This window comes from Homo sapiens, chromosome 12, assembly GCF_000001405.40.
Source record: "Homo sapiens chromosome 12, GRCh38.p14 Primary Assembly".
Taxonomy (NCBI): Eukaryota; Metazoa; Chordata; class Mammalia; order Primates; family Hominidae; genus Homo; species Homo sapiens.
Genome location: NC_000012.12, coordinates 12,038,227 through 12,055,860, shown reverse-complemented (window position 1 = coordinate 12,055,860; position 17,634 = coordinate 12,038,227). Strand labels below are relative to the sequence as shown.

The 17,634-nt window shown below is 41.9% G+C and overlaps 1 protein-coding gene across 2 annotated transcripts in view, besides 2 other annotated features; it reads right to left on the bottom strand.

Annotated features, from left to right (window-relative positions):
• BCL2L14 (BCL2 like 14) overlaps positions 1–6,000 on the bottom strand; it is a 49,835-nt gene extending 43,835 nt beyond the window's left edge. For both annotated transcript variants that reach the window (NM_001370269.1, NM_001370268.1), the window contains exons 1-2: positions 5,907–6,000; positions 4,014–4,065 (exon numbers count right to left, since the gene is read on the bottom strand). The gene's annotated coding sequence lies outside the window, so the exon portion shown is untranslated. The remainder of the gene's footprint in view (positions 1–4,013; positions 4,066–5,906) is intronic.
• Positions 8,380–8,479: an enhancer, noted in NCBI's record as "active region_6008". NCBI's record gives its function as "activates an Ori minimal core promoter by ATAC-STARR-seq in GM12878 lymphoblastoid cells {active_cell/tissue: GM12878}" and the evidence as "EXISTENCE:reporter gene assay evidence [ECO:0000049][PMID:35858748]".
• Positions 8,465–8,964: an enhancer, noted in NCBI's record as "H3K27ac hESC enhancer chr12:12199831-12200330 (GRCh37/hg19 assembly coordinates)". NCBI's record gives its function as "activates a minimal SCP1, AML or CMV promoter by ChIP-STARR-seq in naive and primed H9 embryonic stem cells {active_cell/tissue: H9 hESC(naive and primed)}" and the evidence as "EXISTENCE:reporter gene assay evidence [ECO:0000049][PMID:30033119]".

The following is a 17,634-nucleotide window of genomic DNA, read 5'->3' as shown; positions in this document are numbered from 1 at the left end:
GCTATGAAAACACAAATATGAAAGGGTGTGATAGGCCTGAAATAAGAGCACTGGACTGAACGGAGCTTCTTGAAAATGTTAATGACAGAAGAAGGGATTTTTCTGGTTTATTCTCAACAACAGAAGGCAGAGACAAGGCAGAACCACTCTGAGTCCATTTGACTTCTGTATTCTCTACCAGAGAAAACAGTCTCAGTTGGAAATGACTGAGAAGTGAAAGCGTTCTGCCTATGAGGAGAGTGCACAGGTGTGTTTTGCAGCTGTAAGTGAATCTCAGGCCCAGAGTAGGGAGACCTAGGGCCATCACTGAGTGGTATCCGAGGACTGCAGGTGGCTTGCACTGTTTCAGCAAGTTGGCGGGTCTCAAAAACCGTGCATTGATGTTAATTCCTGCAAAATCTGAAACTGGGGTATTAAATGGATGATTTATGAACCGTTAGAATGGTGAGTTTCTTGTGTTCCTGGAGAGTAGATCAGCACAAACGAATCCCATCTCCCACGGATCAGGGGTGTGTTTGATGAAGTGCACGTTCACTCTAGCAAGGCTTCTGACAACGATGTCATGAGATGCATGTGAATGAGTTGGAGAATTGCTGGCTAGATGAAATTGTAATTACAAAACTTTTCAGATGGTTTCCCACGTATGTGTACTTGAATTGTGCATTGATGGAATGAGGGCCTTGACCTTTCTGGATTGTTTACTTTTCCATCTCCTCTCTTTCCTAGATGTGTGAGTGGGAGCAAATTGTTCAACCTCTCCAGCCCTCAATATTTTGTGAAAAATGCCTCATTCTCTAACTGTTTATGACTCTATGAGTAATTGGTTCATACACACCTGGAGGGATGTCATTTTCCTCTGAATTCTCTCCCTGATTCTGTTTCATCATTTTTCTTTATTCTTTTTTTTTTTTTTGAGATGGAGTCTCGCTCTGTCGCCCAGGCTGGAGTCCAGTGGTGTGATCTCAGGTCACTGCAACCTTTGCCTCCTGGGTTCAAGCGATTCTCCTGCCTCAGCCTCCCGAGTAGCTGGGACTACAGGCACATGCCACCACGCCTGGCTCATTTTGTATTTTTAGTAGAGATGGGGTTTCACCCTGTTGGCCAGGCTGGTCTCGATCTCCTGACCTCATGATCTGCCCGCCTCGGCCTCCCAAAGTGCTGGGATTACAGGTGTGAGCCAACACGCCTGGCCTGTTTCATCATTTTTCATGATTGACTTAGATAATAACAAGTGTGTAGAAGATGTGAGGACGCTGCAGAGAACATAGATAAAAGTTCAGGCCCTGGAGTCAGATAATCCTAGGTATGACTCTTGGGTCAGTCCCTTCCTAATTGGATTTTATTTTTTTTTTTTTTCGAGATGGAGTCTTGCTCTGTTGCCCAGGTTGGAGTGCAGTGGCATGATCTCGGCTCACTGCAACCTCCACCTCCTGGGTTCAAGCAATTCTCCTGCCTCAGCCTCCCAAGTAACTGGGATTACAGGCACCTGCCACCACGCCTGGCTAATTTTTTGTATTTTTAGTAGATATGGGGTTTCTCCATGTTGGCCTGGCTGGTCTCGAACTCCTGACTTCAGGTGATCCACCTGCCTTGGCCTTCCAAAGAGCTGGGATTACAGGCATGAGCTACTGCGCCCAGCCCCTAATTGGATTTTGAGCAAGCTTCTTAACTTCACTAGACTTGGTTTCCTATCCTATTAAGTGAGAATAATAATAATATTTAACTTTGTGTAAAGACTAAATGATTATATAAGGTATTACATTAAACAAACAAATACGTAGCAGGGTGTCTGGCACAAAGTCAGGGCCCCCATAACTGTCAACTGTTTTTGTTTATGTTATTACTAAACCGGGAGAGGTAACATTAGGTAACATATCATGTTTCAAAATTATAGTAGGGTGAAACTATAAGCTAAAACCTAGAATTGTATAGGGTTCAACGTAAAACCCAACATTTAGTTTGAACTGATCAGCCACACGTGAACAGAATGGGAGAGACCTGGCTTAAGAGTGGCTCATGTCAAAGGCATTTAGGGGTTTTTAGGTGATTGTCAGCTCCACTTCAATCATCAGTATGCAGTGGCTTCCAAGGAAGCCAGTGTCGTCTGAGGCTGAGTTAATGAGAATGCAAAAGAAGTTATATTGCCGGCTGGGCATGGTGGCTCACGCCTGTAATCCCAGCACTTTGGGAGGCCAAGGCGGGTACCTGAGGTTGGAAGTTCGAGACCAGCCTAACCAACATGGAGAAACCCCATCTCTACTAAAAATACAAAATTAGCCGGGTGTGGTGGCACATGCCTGTAACCCCAGCTACTCGGGAGGCTGAGGCAGGAGAATTGCTTGAACCCGGGAGGTGGAGGTTGCAGTGAGCTGAGATTGCGCCATTGCACTCCAGCCTGGGCAACAAGAGTGAAACTTCGTCTCAAAAAAAAAAAAAAGAAGAAGAAGAAGTTATAGGGCCATTGTAACCTTGTCCTGGTATAGATTGTGTCCCCTGAGCTGAGTTCAGCCCTGCCCTTGTGTTTTTCGAGGAAGAAAAGCAGGGAGTGAGACTACTTGCCTTCAAATCCCAGCTCTGCTATTAGATTAGCCCTATGGACTTGGGCAAGTTATTTAACCTTTCTGTGCCTCAGCTTTCTAATTTGTAAAATGAGAATAATAAAAATTCTATCTATCTCACAGGGCTGTTATGAGGATTCAGTAGGATGTAAATGTAAATATGTAAGGTGTTTCCAAAGGTGTTTGGCTCACCCACATGCTAGAGAAATGGTGGTGGTGGTGCTGGTGGTACCATCATCATTGTCATTCTAAGGACACTGTCCATGTCCCCAAGGGACCTGATCAGAATGGTGATGGGTGCTGCATCAGTGAAACAAGAATACTGAATTCATGAACCGTCTTGCTCTTCTACTACCCCTGCCCCAAACACACACCTCACTCCCTTGATATGGGCAGGCTTCTCACTTTTAGGCTTTGGCCTAAGTTGGAATGCTCAGACGTATACTCCTTTTGGTCTCTATCACTAAACTTTAGAAATTATCTCGTTCAGGGCTCTTATTTTAGGTATGCTCAAGGTCAGACAGAAGCTAAGAAACCAAGGTCCTGATACAGCAATCCCACTTCTGGGTATTTATCCAAAGGCATTGAAATCAGTATGTTGAAGAGACACCTGAACTCCCATGTTCATTGCAACACGATTTACCATAGCCAAGATATGGAATCAATCTAGGTGTCCATCAACAGATGAATGAATAAAGAAAATGTGGTATATATGCACAATAGAATACTACTCAGCCTTAAACAGGGGTGAAATCCTGTGATTTGGGACAACATGGATGAATCTGGAGGACACTACGCTAAGTGAAATAAGCCAGGCACAGAAAGACAAATATTGCACGATCTCACTCATAGGTAGGATCTGAGAAAGTTGATCTCATAGAAGTAGAGAGTACAATGGTGGTTACCAGGGACTGGGGGTGGAGCGGTGGTTGGGAAAAGGCTACACAGTTTCAGTTAGACAAGAGGAATAAGCTTTACTAATCAATTGCACAGCATGGTAACTATAATAAGTAATAATGCATTGTATATTTCAAAATTGCTAAAAGTAGATCTTAAATGTTTTTACTGCAAAAAATTGGTAAGTTTGTGAGGTGATGGATTTACTAATTAGCCTGATTTAATCATTCCACATTGTAAACCTATATCAAAACATCAAATTGTACTCCATAAACATGTATTATTACTACTTGTTAATGAAAAATAAAAATAAAACGAAAAACAAAGGAAGAAGAAAAAAACCTCAAAAAAGAAAAAGAAAACAAGGTCCTCAGCCGTGTCCTATTTTCTTTGCACTCACCACCCACGTCCTTCTCACATCTGATTGTTGAAGTCTTTCCAACTCCAACTCAATTCCACTTCTTCTTAGAACCTTTCCAGATCCTCCAAGGTAAGCTGGGCTACTCTTTCCCCATGCCTATATGATTGTAAGTTGTGTGTAGCTATTACAGTACTTACGGTCTTTGTTTTAGTGTCCATCACCTATGCCTCTTGTCTTCACCCTGTTTGCCTAAAGAGCAAGGAGATAATATTCGCTTTAGGGTCCCACTTGGCACAAGCATGGTGCTTTGCATATATTAGACTATCATGAAGTGCTCATTGAATTGGGTATTAAGATTGTATAATGTGGACTATTTATCTTAGAAGAGAGAAGATTTAGGAGGAATGGAATTGACTCTCATGGAAAGATTCGATTCAGCTACCTAGTGCTAAAGAGCAGAATGGGGACCAGGGGCTGAAAGTTACCAGGGGGTAAATTTGATCTGGCTGTGTGGGGCGGATTCTTCCCAGTGACAATCATTTAATGAGGAGATGGGTGCCTCATGAGAGGCGAGTTAAGGTATTCAAGCAGAGGCAGGATGGCCACTGTCAGGAGTGGAGTAGAGGGGAACCCTCGGGATTCCCTGTTTATTAGCTGAGTTTCAACATCACTAGAAACCTCGGTGATGTTTTAGGTTCCCATGTAGCTACAGACTACAGCAGACGCATGGGGTACCTGATGTGCAAACAGGGTTGAGACAGGCCTAGCACTGCCCAGTAGACCTGAGTCTGGCTTAGGTTCATTCTTGACTCTTGCTAGTCTAGTCTGCAAGAAGCTGAACTCACGAAAAGCCAGCTCCTTTTCCCACCATCTCTATTTATTAACCCCTCCCTCACTCTTATACACCCTGCTCACTGCTGTCTGGTGCCCCTACAAGGTCAATTTCACGCTGAACTTTACTACAGTGAAAAGTCCTGAGTTTCATCTAAAAGCATTTGAGGTGTCTTAAGTTAAATTCTAAAACCTTTCAGTTTAGCTTCAGTTTATGGTGCTATTCAATCCTTATCGAGCACTTCCGCCAAAAGGTCCTAAATCTCTCTCTTATGCAAGCTTCCACGGGCTGCATGAGGCCCAGGATGGCTTTGAATGTGGCTCAACACAAATTTGTAAACTTTCTTAAAACATTATGAGATTTATGCACGGCCATTCTTTTTTCTTTTCTTTTCTTTTCTTTTTTTTTTTTTTTTTTTTAGCTCATCAGCTATTAGTGTTAGTGTGTTTTATGTGTGGCCCAAGACAATTCTTCTTCCAGTGTGGCCCAGGGAAGCCAAAAGATTGGACACCCCTGTAAATAGGCTCTTAGACTCGAAGCTATAGTTTCTGTAGTTCTTCTGCCTATTCTATTTCCTTCTCAAATTACGGGTCGCACTGTTCCTTTTCAATTTGGGTTCCAGGTCTACTCCTATAAGCTTCTGGCTAAAACCTTTCTGTTTTTGCAGACTCCTCACTAATAAGTGTCCCCCTTGGCATTTTGCTCTTAGGATCTGGTTTTCCATATTTTTGAGGCTCTTTGTTTCTTCTTTTCTTTTCTTTTCTTTTTTTTTTTTTTTTTGAGATGGTGTCTCCCTCTGTCGCCCAGGTTGGAGTGCAGTGGCGCAATCTAGGCTCACTGCAAGCTCCGCCTCTCGGGTTCACGCCATTCTCCTGCCTCAGCCTCCCGAGTAGCTGGGACTACATGCGCCCGCCACCACGCCCAGCTAATTGAGGCTCTTTCAAGACTCCTGTCCAGCCTTTGCATGCCAGGGCATTAGTCGTGGCCTCCTATTGAACCCCACCTCCTCCCAAGTCCATCTAGGTCTCTTTACATCACAGTTTTGCTCCCTACCCTTGGCCCTGAGTGTTTCTGCCACCTGGCCTCATTCCTAAGGTTCTTGCTCAGGGAGGTCAGTAGACTATCTGCCATATATCAGCCTGATAAACGGATTGTCTCCCAAGCATCTTCCTTCACACATTAAATTTTAGGAAATATCAAACTTAAGAGTGGACTCTATTTCAAAAGCACATTTATAAGAAACTTATGTAGCACTCACATTTCCCCCTTACAATAACGTTCTTCTAGGTGGTTAGTTCTGCCAGGCGAGTCCAGGGGAGCCCATTTAGCCTCTAGGATGAAGCGAAAGCACTGGGACCTTAGAATCTTTGGGAGTAATAATAGTGGGATAGAATAAGACTGCAGTGTAGAACGGTGTTTCTACGGGAAACTATTTCTAGAATTCCGCCTTGGATTGCTGGGATTCCTTTTTTTTTTTTTTTTTTTTTTTTTAGATGGAGTCTCGCTCTGTCGCCCAGGCTGGAGTGCATTGGCGCGGTCTCGGCTCACTACAACCTCTGCCTCCCGGGTTCAAGCGATTCTCTTGCTTCAGCCTCCTGAGTAGCTGGGGCTACAGGCGCTCGCCACCAGGTCCGGCTAATTTTTGTATTTTTAGTAGAGATGGGTTTTCACCATGTTGCCAGGTTGGTCTCAAAACTCCTGACCTCGTGATGCACCCGCCTCGGCCTCCCAAAGTGTTGGGATTACAGGCGTGAGCCATCGCGCCTGGTGCTGCGATTCCTTTAGCTGTCTGCAGTGAGACTGGGCAGCCCCTACCCCCATATTAAAAGAAAAGAAAAAACACATCCTGCAATTTATTGAGGAATCACCGCATACCGGGCAGTGTAAACTCATTATCAGTCATGTCGCTTCATCCTCACATCAACGCTGTGAGGTGGGCACTGCTGATACCCATGTTTTACTAATGAAGATACGGAGGCAAAGAGACTGCTCTCAGTGGCTTTGGACAGGGATTCTCATAACATAAAGTCTGGGTGCGTGCTAGGAAAGGAACAAGGACTCTAGAAAACTGTAAAGGTGAGAAGAGAGTCAGAGATGGGGCAGAAGATGGAATAAAGATTGGGGCAGAGGCAGCCTGGCGCAGGGTAGGACATTTGTAGACGTTATAGAGAGTTGACCCTTGAACAAGACGGATTTGAACTGCACAGGTTCACTTATACACAGGTTTTTTCCAGTACAAGCTACACTGAGTGTGTCTGCCTCTCCTGCCTTCCCTTTTACTTCCTCCGCCTCTTCTGCCTCTGCCACCCAGAGACAGCAAGAATAACCCCTCCGCTTCCTCCTCCGCACCCTACTCAGTGTGAAGACAATAAGGATGAAAACCTTCATGAAACTCCACTTGCACTTAACGAAGAGGAAATATTTTTCTTCCTCATGATTTTCTTAATAGTATTTTCTTTTCTTTGGCTTACTTTATTGTAAGAATACATTATATAATTCATACACGAAATATGAGTTAACTGACTATGTTATCAGCAAGGTTTCCCAGTCAACTGTAGGCTCTTGGTAGTTAAGTTCAGTAGAATATTGGGCAGACATCAGCCTGACTCCTTTTTTGGGAATCAAAAGTTATACGCGGATTTTTGACGACGTGGGGGTCAGCATCCCTAACCCCACATTGTTCAAGGGTCAGCTGTGTTCCCTTCCCTGTGACCTGTCTTTTGGCAAAGGGAAACTCAGATCCTGTTGTAGGGTCTTTGAAACAATGGACAATGGCCACAGTGGCCCATGAGAGGGAAAAATATTTACATGGCAGTGCTGGGGATTCAGTTCCCACAAATAGGAGATTTCCAAGGATTTCCACAACATACCCACAGACACACACAAAGAGACACACAGATACACAGAGACACATACACAGGGACACATACACAGACATACAGATACACACACAGAGGCACACATGCAGACACACACAGACACACACACACATACACAGACATACACACAGATACACAGACACACACAGAAACACAGACACACACACAGAGACACACACAGCCACACACAGAGACAGACACACAGATACACAGACACACACAGGCACACACACAGACACACACAGAGACACACACACAGATACACAGATACAGGTACACACACACACAGAGACACACACAGCCACACACAGAGACACACAGACACACAGATACACAGACACACACAGGCACACACACAGACACACACAGATACACAGACACACAGATACACAAACAGACACACAGACACTGATACACAGACACACACACTGATAGACACACACACACTGATACACAGACACACAGATACACAGACACAGAGACAAACACATACATATACGGACACGCAGGCACACACAGGCACACACATAGACACACAGAGATACACAGACATACACACAGACACACATACACAGACACAGACACACAGAGAGACACAGATAGACACAAACGCAGACACACACAGACACACAGACACACACAGAGGCACACATTTTCAATGCTCTGTTTCCTCTTCTTCCTTTCATTTCCCCCTCACTTGGATGAGGCAGGTAGAGTGGGGGAGTGGGTAAGAGTTACTGCAGTAAGAAGAGAAAGCCGCAATAGGTATTTTTAGTCCTGGAGGTGTTCAAGGATGGTGGTAGAGTCCTTGACCCCAGCTTTTCACCTCCTCTGCCCCATATTCATGCCTGTTGCCACGTAACTTCACAGTGCCCTCCCACCATGCATGAATGACCTGCCCTGTCCCCTGGTTCTGGGCTCAATCATGTGACTTGCTTTTGTCATTAGTGTGTAAAAGCCGTGACTCAAATTTGGGCTGTAGAGAGGTTTGTCCACGAGAACTTGTTTTCTTCTTCCCTTTCCCCTTTTCTTTCCTTTCCTTTCCCTGTCCTGTCCTGTCCTGTCCTGTCGTGTCCTGTCCTGTCCTGTCCTGTCTTGTCTCGTCTTGTCTCACTCTGTTACCCAGAGTGGAGTGCAGGAGTGCAGTGGTGTGATTTTTTTTTGTTTGTTTGTTTTTTGAGATGGAGTTTTGCTTTGTTGCCCAGGCTAGAGTGCAGTGGCACGATCTTGGCTCACTGCAACCTCTGCCTCCCGGGTTCAAGCAATTCTCCTGTCTCAGCCTTCTAAGTAGCTGGGACTACAGGCGCACGTCACCATGTCTGGCTAATTTTTGTATTTTTAGTAGAGATAGGGTTTCACCATATTGGTCAGGCTGGTCTCAAACTCCTGACTTCAGGTGATCCACCAGCCTCAGTCTCCCAAAGTGCTGGGATCACAGGCGTGAGCCACTGCACCCAGCCAGTGGTGCCATCTTGGCTCACTGCAACATTTGCCTCCTGGGCTCAAGCGATTCTCGTGCCTCAGCCTCACGAATAGCTGGGATTACAGCCGTGCACCACCACGCCTGGCTAAGTTTTTGTATTTTTAGTAAAGATGGGTTTTCACCAAGTTGACCAGACTGGTCTCGAACTCCTGACGTCAAGTGATCCACCTGCTTTGGCCTCCCAAAGTGTTGAGATTACAGGCGTGAGCCACTGCGCCCAAGCTAGAGCTTGTTTTCTCATGCACCTCAGCTATGGCCATAAGAACATGCCCAGGCCAGCCTGCTGAGGATGACAGATACATGAAACAGAATCAAATTCTCCAGTTGACCTGGAGGAACCCAGCCTAGATCAGCAGCACACACGAGTGAGGCCAGCTAAGTTCAGCAGAGCCACCTGGTCTATATCAGCAGAACCCTGCCAACTTATAAAAGATAAATTTAGTTTTGTATGTGTATGCCCTGAATTTGTTTTTAAAAATTAACTTTTAATTTTGAGATAATTGTAGATTCATATGTAGTTGTAAGAAATAATCAAGATCCTGTGTACCGTTTACCCATTTTTTTTCCAATGGTAACAGCATATAATAGCACAATGTTATAATCAGGATATAGACATTGATACTGTCAAGATACAGAACATTTTCGTTACCATAAAGTTCCCTCATCTTGCCATTTTATAGCCACAACCCGTGACTTCCTGCTCCCACCCCCTCCATAACTCCTGACAACCACTAATCAACTCTTCATTTCTAGAATTTTGTCATTTCAAAAACGTTATGGAAATGAAATCATACATAGGCAACCTTTTGAGATTGGCTTTTTTTTTTGTTTTTTGTTTTTTGTTTTTTTTTGAGACGGAGTCTCGCTCTGTTGCCCAGGCTGGAGTGCAGTGGCGCGATCTCGGCTCACTGCAAGCTCCGCCTCCCGGGTTCACGCCATTCTCCTGCCTCAGCCACCCGAGTAGCTGGGACTACAGGCACCCGCCACCACGCCCAGCTAATTTTTTTGTATTTTTAGTAGAGACGGGGTTTCACTGTGTTAGCCAGGATGGTCTCGATCTCCTGACCTCGTGATCTGCCTGCCTCGGCCTCCCAAAGTGCTGGGATTACAGGTGTGAGCCACCGCGCCCGGCCAAGATTGGCTTTTTTCCCCACTCAGCCTAATCCTCTGGAGATTCATCTAGGTTGTTGTGTTTATCAAAAGTTTGTTCCTTTTTACTGTTGAATAACATCGCATAGAATGTACCATATTTTGTCTAAGCAGTCACCTATTGAAGGACATCTAGATTGCTTCTAGTTTTGAGCTCTTATGAATATAGCTGCTATAAACATTTGTGCACAAACTTTTGTGTGACTACAAGTCTTCATTTCTCTGAGATAAATACCCAGGAGCTCAATTGCTGGGTCATATGGCAGTTGCATGTTTACTTTTCTAAGAAACTTCCAAACACCACCATTTCACATTCTCACCAGCATCATATGAGTGATCTAGTTTCTCTGCATCCTTGTCAGAATTTGGTGGTGTCACTATTTTTCATCTTAGCCATCCTGATAGATATGTAGTAATACTGCATAGTGGTTTCAACTTGAATTTCACGAATGGCTTATGCTGTTGAACATATTTTCACGTGCTTATTTGTCGTCTGTATATTTTCTGTGTTAAAATGTCTCTTCACATGTTTTGTCCATTTCCTAATTGGATTGTTTGCTTTCTTATTGTTTAATTTTTGAGAGTTCTTTATATATTCCAGATACTAGTCCTATGTCAGATATATGGTTTGCAAATATTTTCTTCCCACTCTGTAGCTTGTCTTTTCATTCTCTTAACAAGATTTTTTACAGAACAAAAATTTAAAATCTTGATGAAGTCCAGTTTATACATCTTTCCTTTTATGAACTGTGCTTTTGGTGTCAAGTCTAAGAACCCTATCACAGGGCATTCTCCATATGTGAAAAAAACACAACACTTTACGTCATTCTAGATCTTGACTATTTTATCCTATGTTTTTTTCCTAAGTGTTTTATGGCTTTACATTTAAGTTCATGATCCATTTTGAGTTAATTTTTGCTTGAGGTGTGAGGCTTAGGTTGAGGTTCATTATTTCTGGTAATAGATGTGCAATCACTCCAGCATCTTATGTTGAAAGCCTGTTTCTCCTTTGTTGAGTTGCTTTTGCACCTTGTCAAAAATCAGTTGGGCATATTTATGTGGATCTGCTTCTGGATTCTTTATTCTGTTCCATTGACCTATGTGTCTATCTCTCCACCAATATCACATAGTCTCGATTACTGACCTATATAATATGTCTTGAAATCAGATAGACTGAGTCACCTCCCACTTTTTTTCTTCTTTTTCAAAATTGTTTTGAAGTCCAGTTCCTTTGCCTTTTCATTTAAATTTTAGGATAAGCTTGTTTATATCTATTTTTAAAACTTTCTGGGATTTTGATAGGAATTATATTAAGACTTCATATCAATTTGGGAGAATTTACACCTTTATTATGTTGAATCTTCTAGTCATAAACACAGTATGTCTCTCCCTTTATTTAGATATTTTTATTTCTTTCATCGGCATAGCATAGTCTTCAGCATAAAATCCCTGGATATGTTTTATTAGACTGACACCTAAGTATTCCATTCTTTTTGAGTGATTGCAAATGATATTATATTTTAAATTTTGATGTCTGCATGTCCATTGCTAGTATATAGAAATACAATTGATTTTTGTATGTTTATCTTATATCCTGCAAGTTTACTGAACTCAGTACTAAGAGTTTGTTTTTCTTGTATACTCCTTGGAATTTTCTATATATAGATAATAATGTCTTCCTTTTTATTCTCCCTCACCCCATCCTTTTGTCTTACTGCACTGGCTAAAACTTTCAGTACTATGTTGAATAAGAATGTAAGTGTGAATACGCTTGTCTTATTCTTGATTTTAAGGGAAAAATATTCAGACTTTCACCATCAGGTATAATGTTGCTGTAGGTTTTTTATAGGTGCTTTTTACTAAGTGGATGCATTTCTTTTCTATTGATAATTTTCTGAGAGTTTTTTTTAAATCATGAATGAGTGTTGAATTTTGTCAAATACTTTTTCCACATCAATTGATATGATCATGTGATTTTTCTTCTGTAGCTTGTTAATATGGTTGATTACATTTATTGATTTTCCAATATTGGACTAGCTCTGCCTCCCTATAATAAGCCCCACTTGGTCGAGATGTATAATTCTTTTTACATACTGCTGAATTTTATTTACTAATTTTTTTTTTCAGGATTTTCATGTCTGTTTTCAAGATAGTATTGATCTGTGGTTTTCTGACTTTTTTGTTTTGTTTTTTTTTTTTTTTTTGGTAGTTTTCTGCCTTCATCTGGTCTTGGTAGAAATAAAACCAATTATGAAGATACCATGGGTTGAGTGTTTGTGTTCTTTCTAAAGTTCATGTTGAAACTTAATCCCCATTATGGTAGTGTTAACAGATGAGGCCTTTTAAGAAGTTATTAAGTCATGAGGGAGAGCCCTCATGAATGGATTAGTGCCATATGAAAGGTCTGGAGGAAACTAGCTAGGCCCTTTTTGTCCTTCTATCCTTCTGCCATGTAAGGATACAGCATTTATTCTCCCAGGAGGATGCAACAAGGTGCCATGTTGAAGCAGAGATAGCAGCCCTCACCAGACTCCAGAACTGCTGGTGCTCTGGTCTTGGACTTCCCAGCTTCCAGAACTGTGAGAAAAAATTTATATTGCTTATAAATGATGCAGTCTCAGGTATTTTGTTATAGCAGCATAAATGAACTAAGAATTCCCTCCTTACCTATATTCTGGAAGAGATTACGTAGAATTGGTGTTAATTCTTTAAACATTTGGTAGAGTTATCTAGTGAAAGCATTTAGGTCTGGATATTTTTCTGGGAGGGAATTTCAAAATTATGAATTAAATTTTCTTAATAGTTATAGGGCTATTCAAATTATCTATTTCATATTGGGCTGGGCACTTTGGCTCATGCTTGTAATCCCAGCACTTTGGGAGGCCACGTGTGCATTCTGATGTGTATTAGAACGTACATGGTCTATCTTGGTGTGTGTTGAGTGTGCATTCTGATGTATATTAGAATGTATATGGTCTATCTTGGTGTATGTTTAGTGTGTATTCTGATGTGTATTAGAATGTATATTCTGCTATTGTGTCAGCTGTTCTACAAATGTCAATTAGGTCCTGTTGGTTGATGGTGTTGTTGAGTTTTTCTACAGCCTTGCTGATTTTTGGTCTACTCGTTCTATCAATTGTTTAGAGAGGAGTGTTGGAGTCTCCAACTATAATTGTGGATTTGTCTATTTCTACTATCAGTTCTATCAGTTTTTGCATCATATAGTTTGCAGATCTGTTGTTTGGCATACAGACAGTTAGTATTGTTAATACTTCCTGGTGGATTGACCCTTTGATCATTATGTAGTCTCCCTCCCTGTCTCTAGCAATTTTCTTTGCTCTGAAGTCTACTTTAGCTTGATACTAATATAACCATTTCTGTTTTCCATTTTTTTGAGACAGAGTCTCACTCTGTTGTCCAGGCTGGAGTACAATGGTGCGATCTCTGCTCACTGCAACCTCTGCCTCCAGGATTCAAGCAATTGTCTTGCCTCAGTCTCCTGAGTAGCTGGGATTACAGGTGCCCACAACCAAGCCCAGCTGATTTTTGTATTTTTAGTAGAGACGGGGGTTTCACCGTGTTGGCCAGGCTGGTATCGAACTCCTGACCTCAAGTGATCCACCCTCCTCAGCCTCCCAAAGTGCTGGGATTACACGTGTGAGCCATAGTGCTCGATCTCTGCTTTCCTTTTATGAATGCTTGCATGCTATGTCTTTTTCTATCCTTTTTTTTTCAATCTGAATATATATATTTTAGAGAAGGGTCTTGCTCTATCACTCAGGCTGGAGTGTAGTGGTGTGATCATGGCTTACTGTGGCCTCAGCCTCGAACTCCTGGGCTCAAGTGATCCTCCCACCTCAGACTCTCGAGTAGCTAGGACTACAGGTGCAAGCTGCCATTTCCAGCTATTTTTTTTTTTTCTTTAGAGATGAGGGTCTTGCTATGTTGCCTAGGCTGGTCTTGAGCTCCTAGCCTCGAGCAATCCTCCCACCTCAGCCTACCAAGTAGCTGGTATTACAGGTGCAAGCCACCAGGCCTCACTCAGGTGGGTCATATTTGTAAATCCAATCTGTCAATCTGTCTTTTAATTGATTATTTTGGCTACTTGCATTTAATGTACTTATTGATATGCTATAACTTAAGCCTGACATTTTATTTCTTGTTTTGTTTGTTCTGCTTTCTGTTTCTCTGTTCACTTTCTCTGTCTTCTGGGTTAATTGAACATTTTTCCATTTTGATTTATCTGTGGTGTTTTGTTTTATTTTGAGATGGAGTCTTGCTCTGTCACTCAGGCTGGAGTGCAGTGGTGCCATCTCTGCTCATCGCAACCTCTGCCTCCTGGGTTCAAATGATTCTCGTGCCTCAGCCTCCCGAGTAGCTGGGATTACAGGTGTCTGCCACCATGCCTGGCTAATTTTTGTATTTTTAGTAGAGACAGGGTTTCACAGTGTTGGCCAGGCTGGTCTCAAACTCCTGACCTCAAAAGATCCGCATACCTCAGCCTCCCAAAGTGCTGGGATTATAAGTGTGAGACATCACCCAGCCTATCTATAGTGTTTTGAATGTATTTCTTTTTTAGCATTTGTATTTCTTTGTATAGCACTTTTAGTGATTGCTCTAAGTATTCCATTGTGTATCCATAACCTATTTCAGTCAACTGATGTTCTTTTTTATCCTTTGAGTGAAGTATAGAACTCTTTCCCCCCATAACACCCTTTTATCTTCCCCTGTTTATAGTATAATTGTCTTAAATATTTCTTCTACATACATTGAGAACCACATCAGATAGTGTTATAAGTTTTGCTTCAACCATCAAATACAATTTGGAAAACTCTTGAGGAGAAATAAAGCCTATTGTGTTTGCCAATATTTTTGCTTACCATGTACTCTCTTCCTTGCTTCATGGTGTTCCATCCTCCTTGTATCATTTCTTTTCTGTTTAGACAACTTCCTTTAGCTATTCTTCTAGGGCGGTTCTCCTGATGACAAATTATCTTAGTTTTTCTTCATCTGAGAATATTGTGATTTCCCCTTAATTCTCACAGGATATTTTTACTGGGTATAGGACTCTGGATTGACAGTTCTTTTCTTTCAGCATTTGAAAAATATTTGTGTCACTTTTCTTTTGGAATACATGGTTTATGATGAGAAATCTATTTCGATTTTAATTGTTTCTGCCATGTTTTCCTCTGGCTGATTTCAAGATTTTTTTCTTTGTATTTAGTTTTCAGAAATTTGATTATGATGTCTCTTGGTGTGGATTTCTTTGGGTTTATTATGTTTGGAGGTTTGCTCAGCCTGTTGAAACTGTACATTTACATCTCTTGGCAAATTTGGGAAGTTTTCAACTATATTTCTGTGAGAATACTTTTTCGGTTATGTCTTTTTGCTTCTCTCCTTTTGGAAGTCTGAGGACATAAATGTTAGATCTTTTGTTATAGATTCACGGGTCCTTGAGCCTCTCCAGGTAGTCTCCAATGACATCATGGTGGGGGTGGCCTTGTGACCTTTGGATAATAATGAAAATCTCGAGTCTCTACTAAGCTCCTCTGATACCATTCCAGAAGAGAGGGGAGAGGCTCCTCTTTACTGCCACAAGGAGGACGAAGTCCAGGCTCCTCTCGTGGCCTGCACCAGAGAATTATTCACTGTAAGGAGATCAGCCTTATTTCTAAATACCAGGCAGAGAAGTGAAGAGATGGTGAGCACCAGCAACTCTGGAGTATAGCTGCTGGAAATGGTGCACAGACCAATGAATCTTTGCTAGCCGCTGTGTCAAAGACCGTGCTGGCGTTGAACCCTGACCTTCTCTTGGATGCCCATGTTTTTAATCCTTTGGTTTTCACTCACAGCTTAGATATCATTCCCATGGCTACTGGATATATGGGTCTGGCAGACCTTATTGAAATATTTATAGAATATTCCCATTTTGTGTTATGATTTAAAATACTCCAAAATAAATATCCTTGAATGTATGCAATTCAGCACTTGGGTAACTGTGTCTGTAGAACAAATACCTAGAAGACTTGTTAGATTGAATGTATGCTTCAGGCTGGGCATGGTGACTCATGCCTGTAATCCCAGCACTTTGGGAGGCTGAGGTGGGTGGATCACTTGAGGTGAGGAGTTTGAGACCAGCCTGGCCAACATGGTGAAATCCCATCTCCACTAAAAATACAAAAATTAGCTGGGTGGGGTGGCACGTGCCTGTAATTCCAGCTACTCAGGAGGCTAAGGCACGAGAATCACTTGAACCTAAGAGGCAGAGGTTGCAGTTAGCCAAGATCATGCCACTGCACTCCAGCCTGGGTGAAAGAGTGAGACTCTCAAAAAAAAAAAAAACCAAAAAAAAACACCTTATGCTTCAGAAGCCATTCTTAGGAGATAAGCTCCAGTATATTAATTTTCTCTATATAGAGTCGCTCTTTTTCCCTCTGCAGCCCTTAACATCTGAAAATATATTTTCTTTTGTTTAATTATCTCAAGATTGTTTATACAATTTTGCAACTTGATTTCACCTGGAAACATTTTTGGTAGTTGCCTAGCTATTTCTTTGATGTGCAAGCCTAACTCACTTTGTCCTGACCCTCTAGATCTTGTAATATTGGATTACTTGAGTTTACTTTTTAAAACTGTATCTTTGACTTATAGAGCTCAAACGCAATGTGGATTTGTTTCATCTTATTCCTTTTTAACAAATTATTTCCTTGATTATTGACCAAATGTGGGTTTCTCAGAATACCGTTTGTCAAATCTTTTCAGTCTGGTATGTGCCTATATCGTTGCTAAGATAGATTATGACTGAATGTCAGTGACACATTCATAATAAAAAGCTCCATAAGTTTTTTTTGGAGGAATTGTGTTGTGAAATTGGAAATATTAAAAAAATATGTGTAGACTTCCCGTTTAGCATGGCAGATTCAATACTTACATATATCTGAGCTTCATTTCCACCCTCTCCTCCCTGTCCAAAATTACAATGAAGGACTAAAAAGGCATAAACTCATAAGGACAGAGAGAATTGGAGGGAGAGAAGAGTAGAGAAGCTGAAAAGTGGTTTGAGGAATGGTAACTCACTTAGCAGCGGAGGCTGAAACCCACGTATCTCAGGAAGGGAAGAGTAATGAGAAACAAAAGATTTGTTCAACAGAACACCTGAAACCTTTTGAAATTGGGGACACCAGTACAGTGGAAGGGGCAAAGGAGGACAAGATCATGGAGATGAAGACAGAGAGATTATTTGATGGTTTCTCAAAGGATCTTTTAGACCTCTAATCCACACCATCAGAGTATGACCTTTCTCTAACCTCTGTAGAACACGAAGTTCCTTCTCTGGAGAAATTGACCAGAGTCTTCGGCTCAGAGTACTCCCACCATCCTCCCTGCTCCCACTATGGCAGTGGAATTACTGCTTGGACCCTGGTCTCCAACTCCATTATATTGAAGACCAGAGTGGAAAATCAATGGAAAAACTC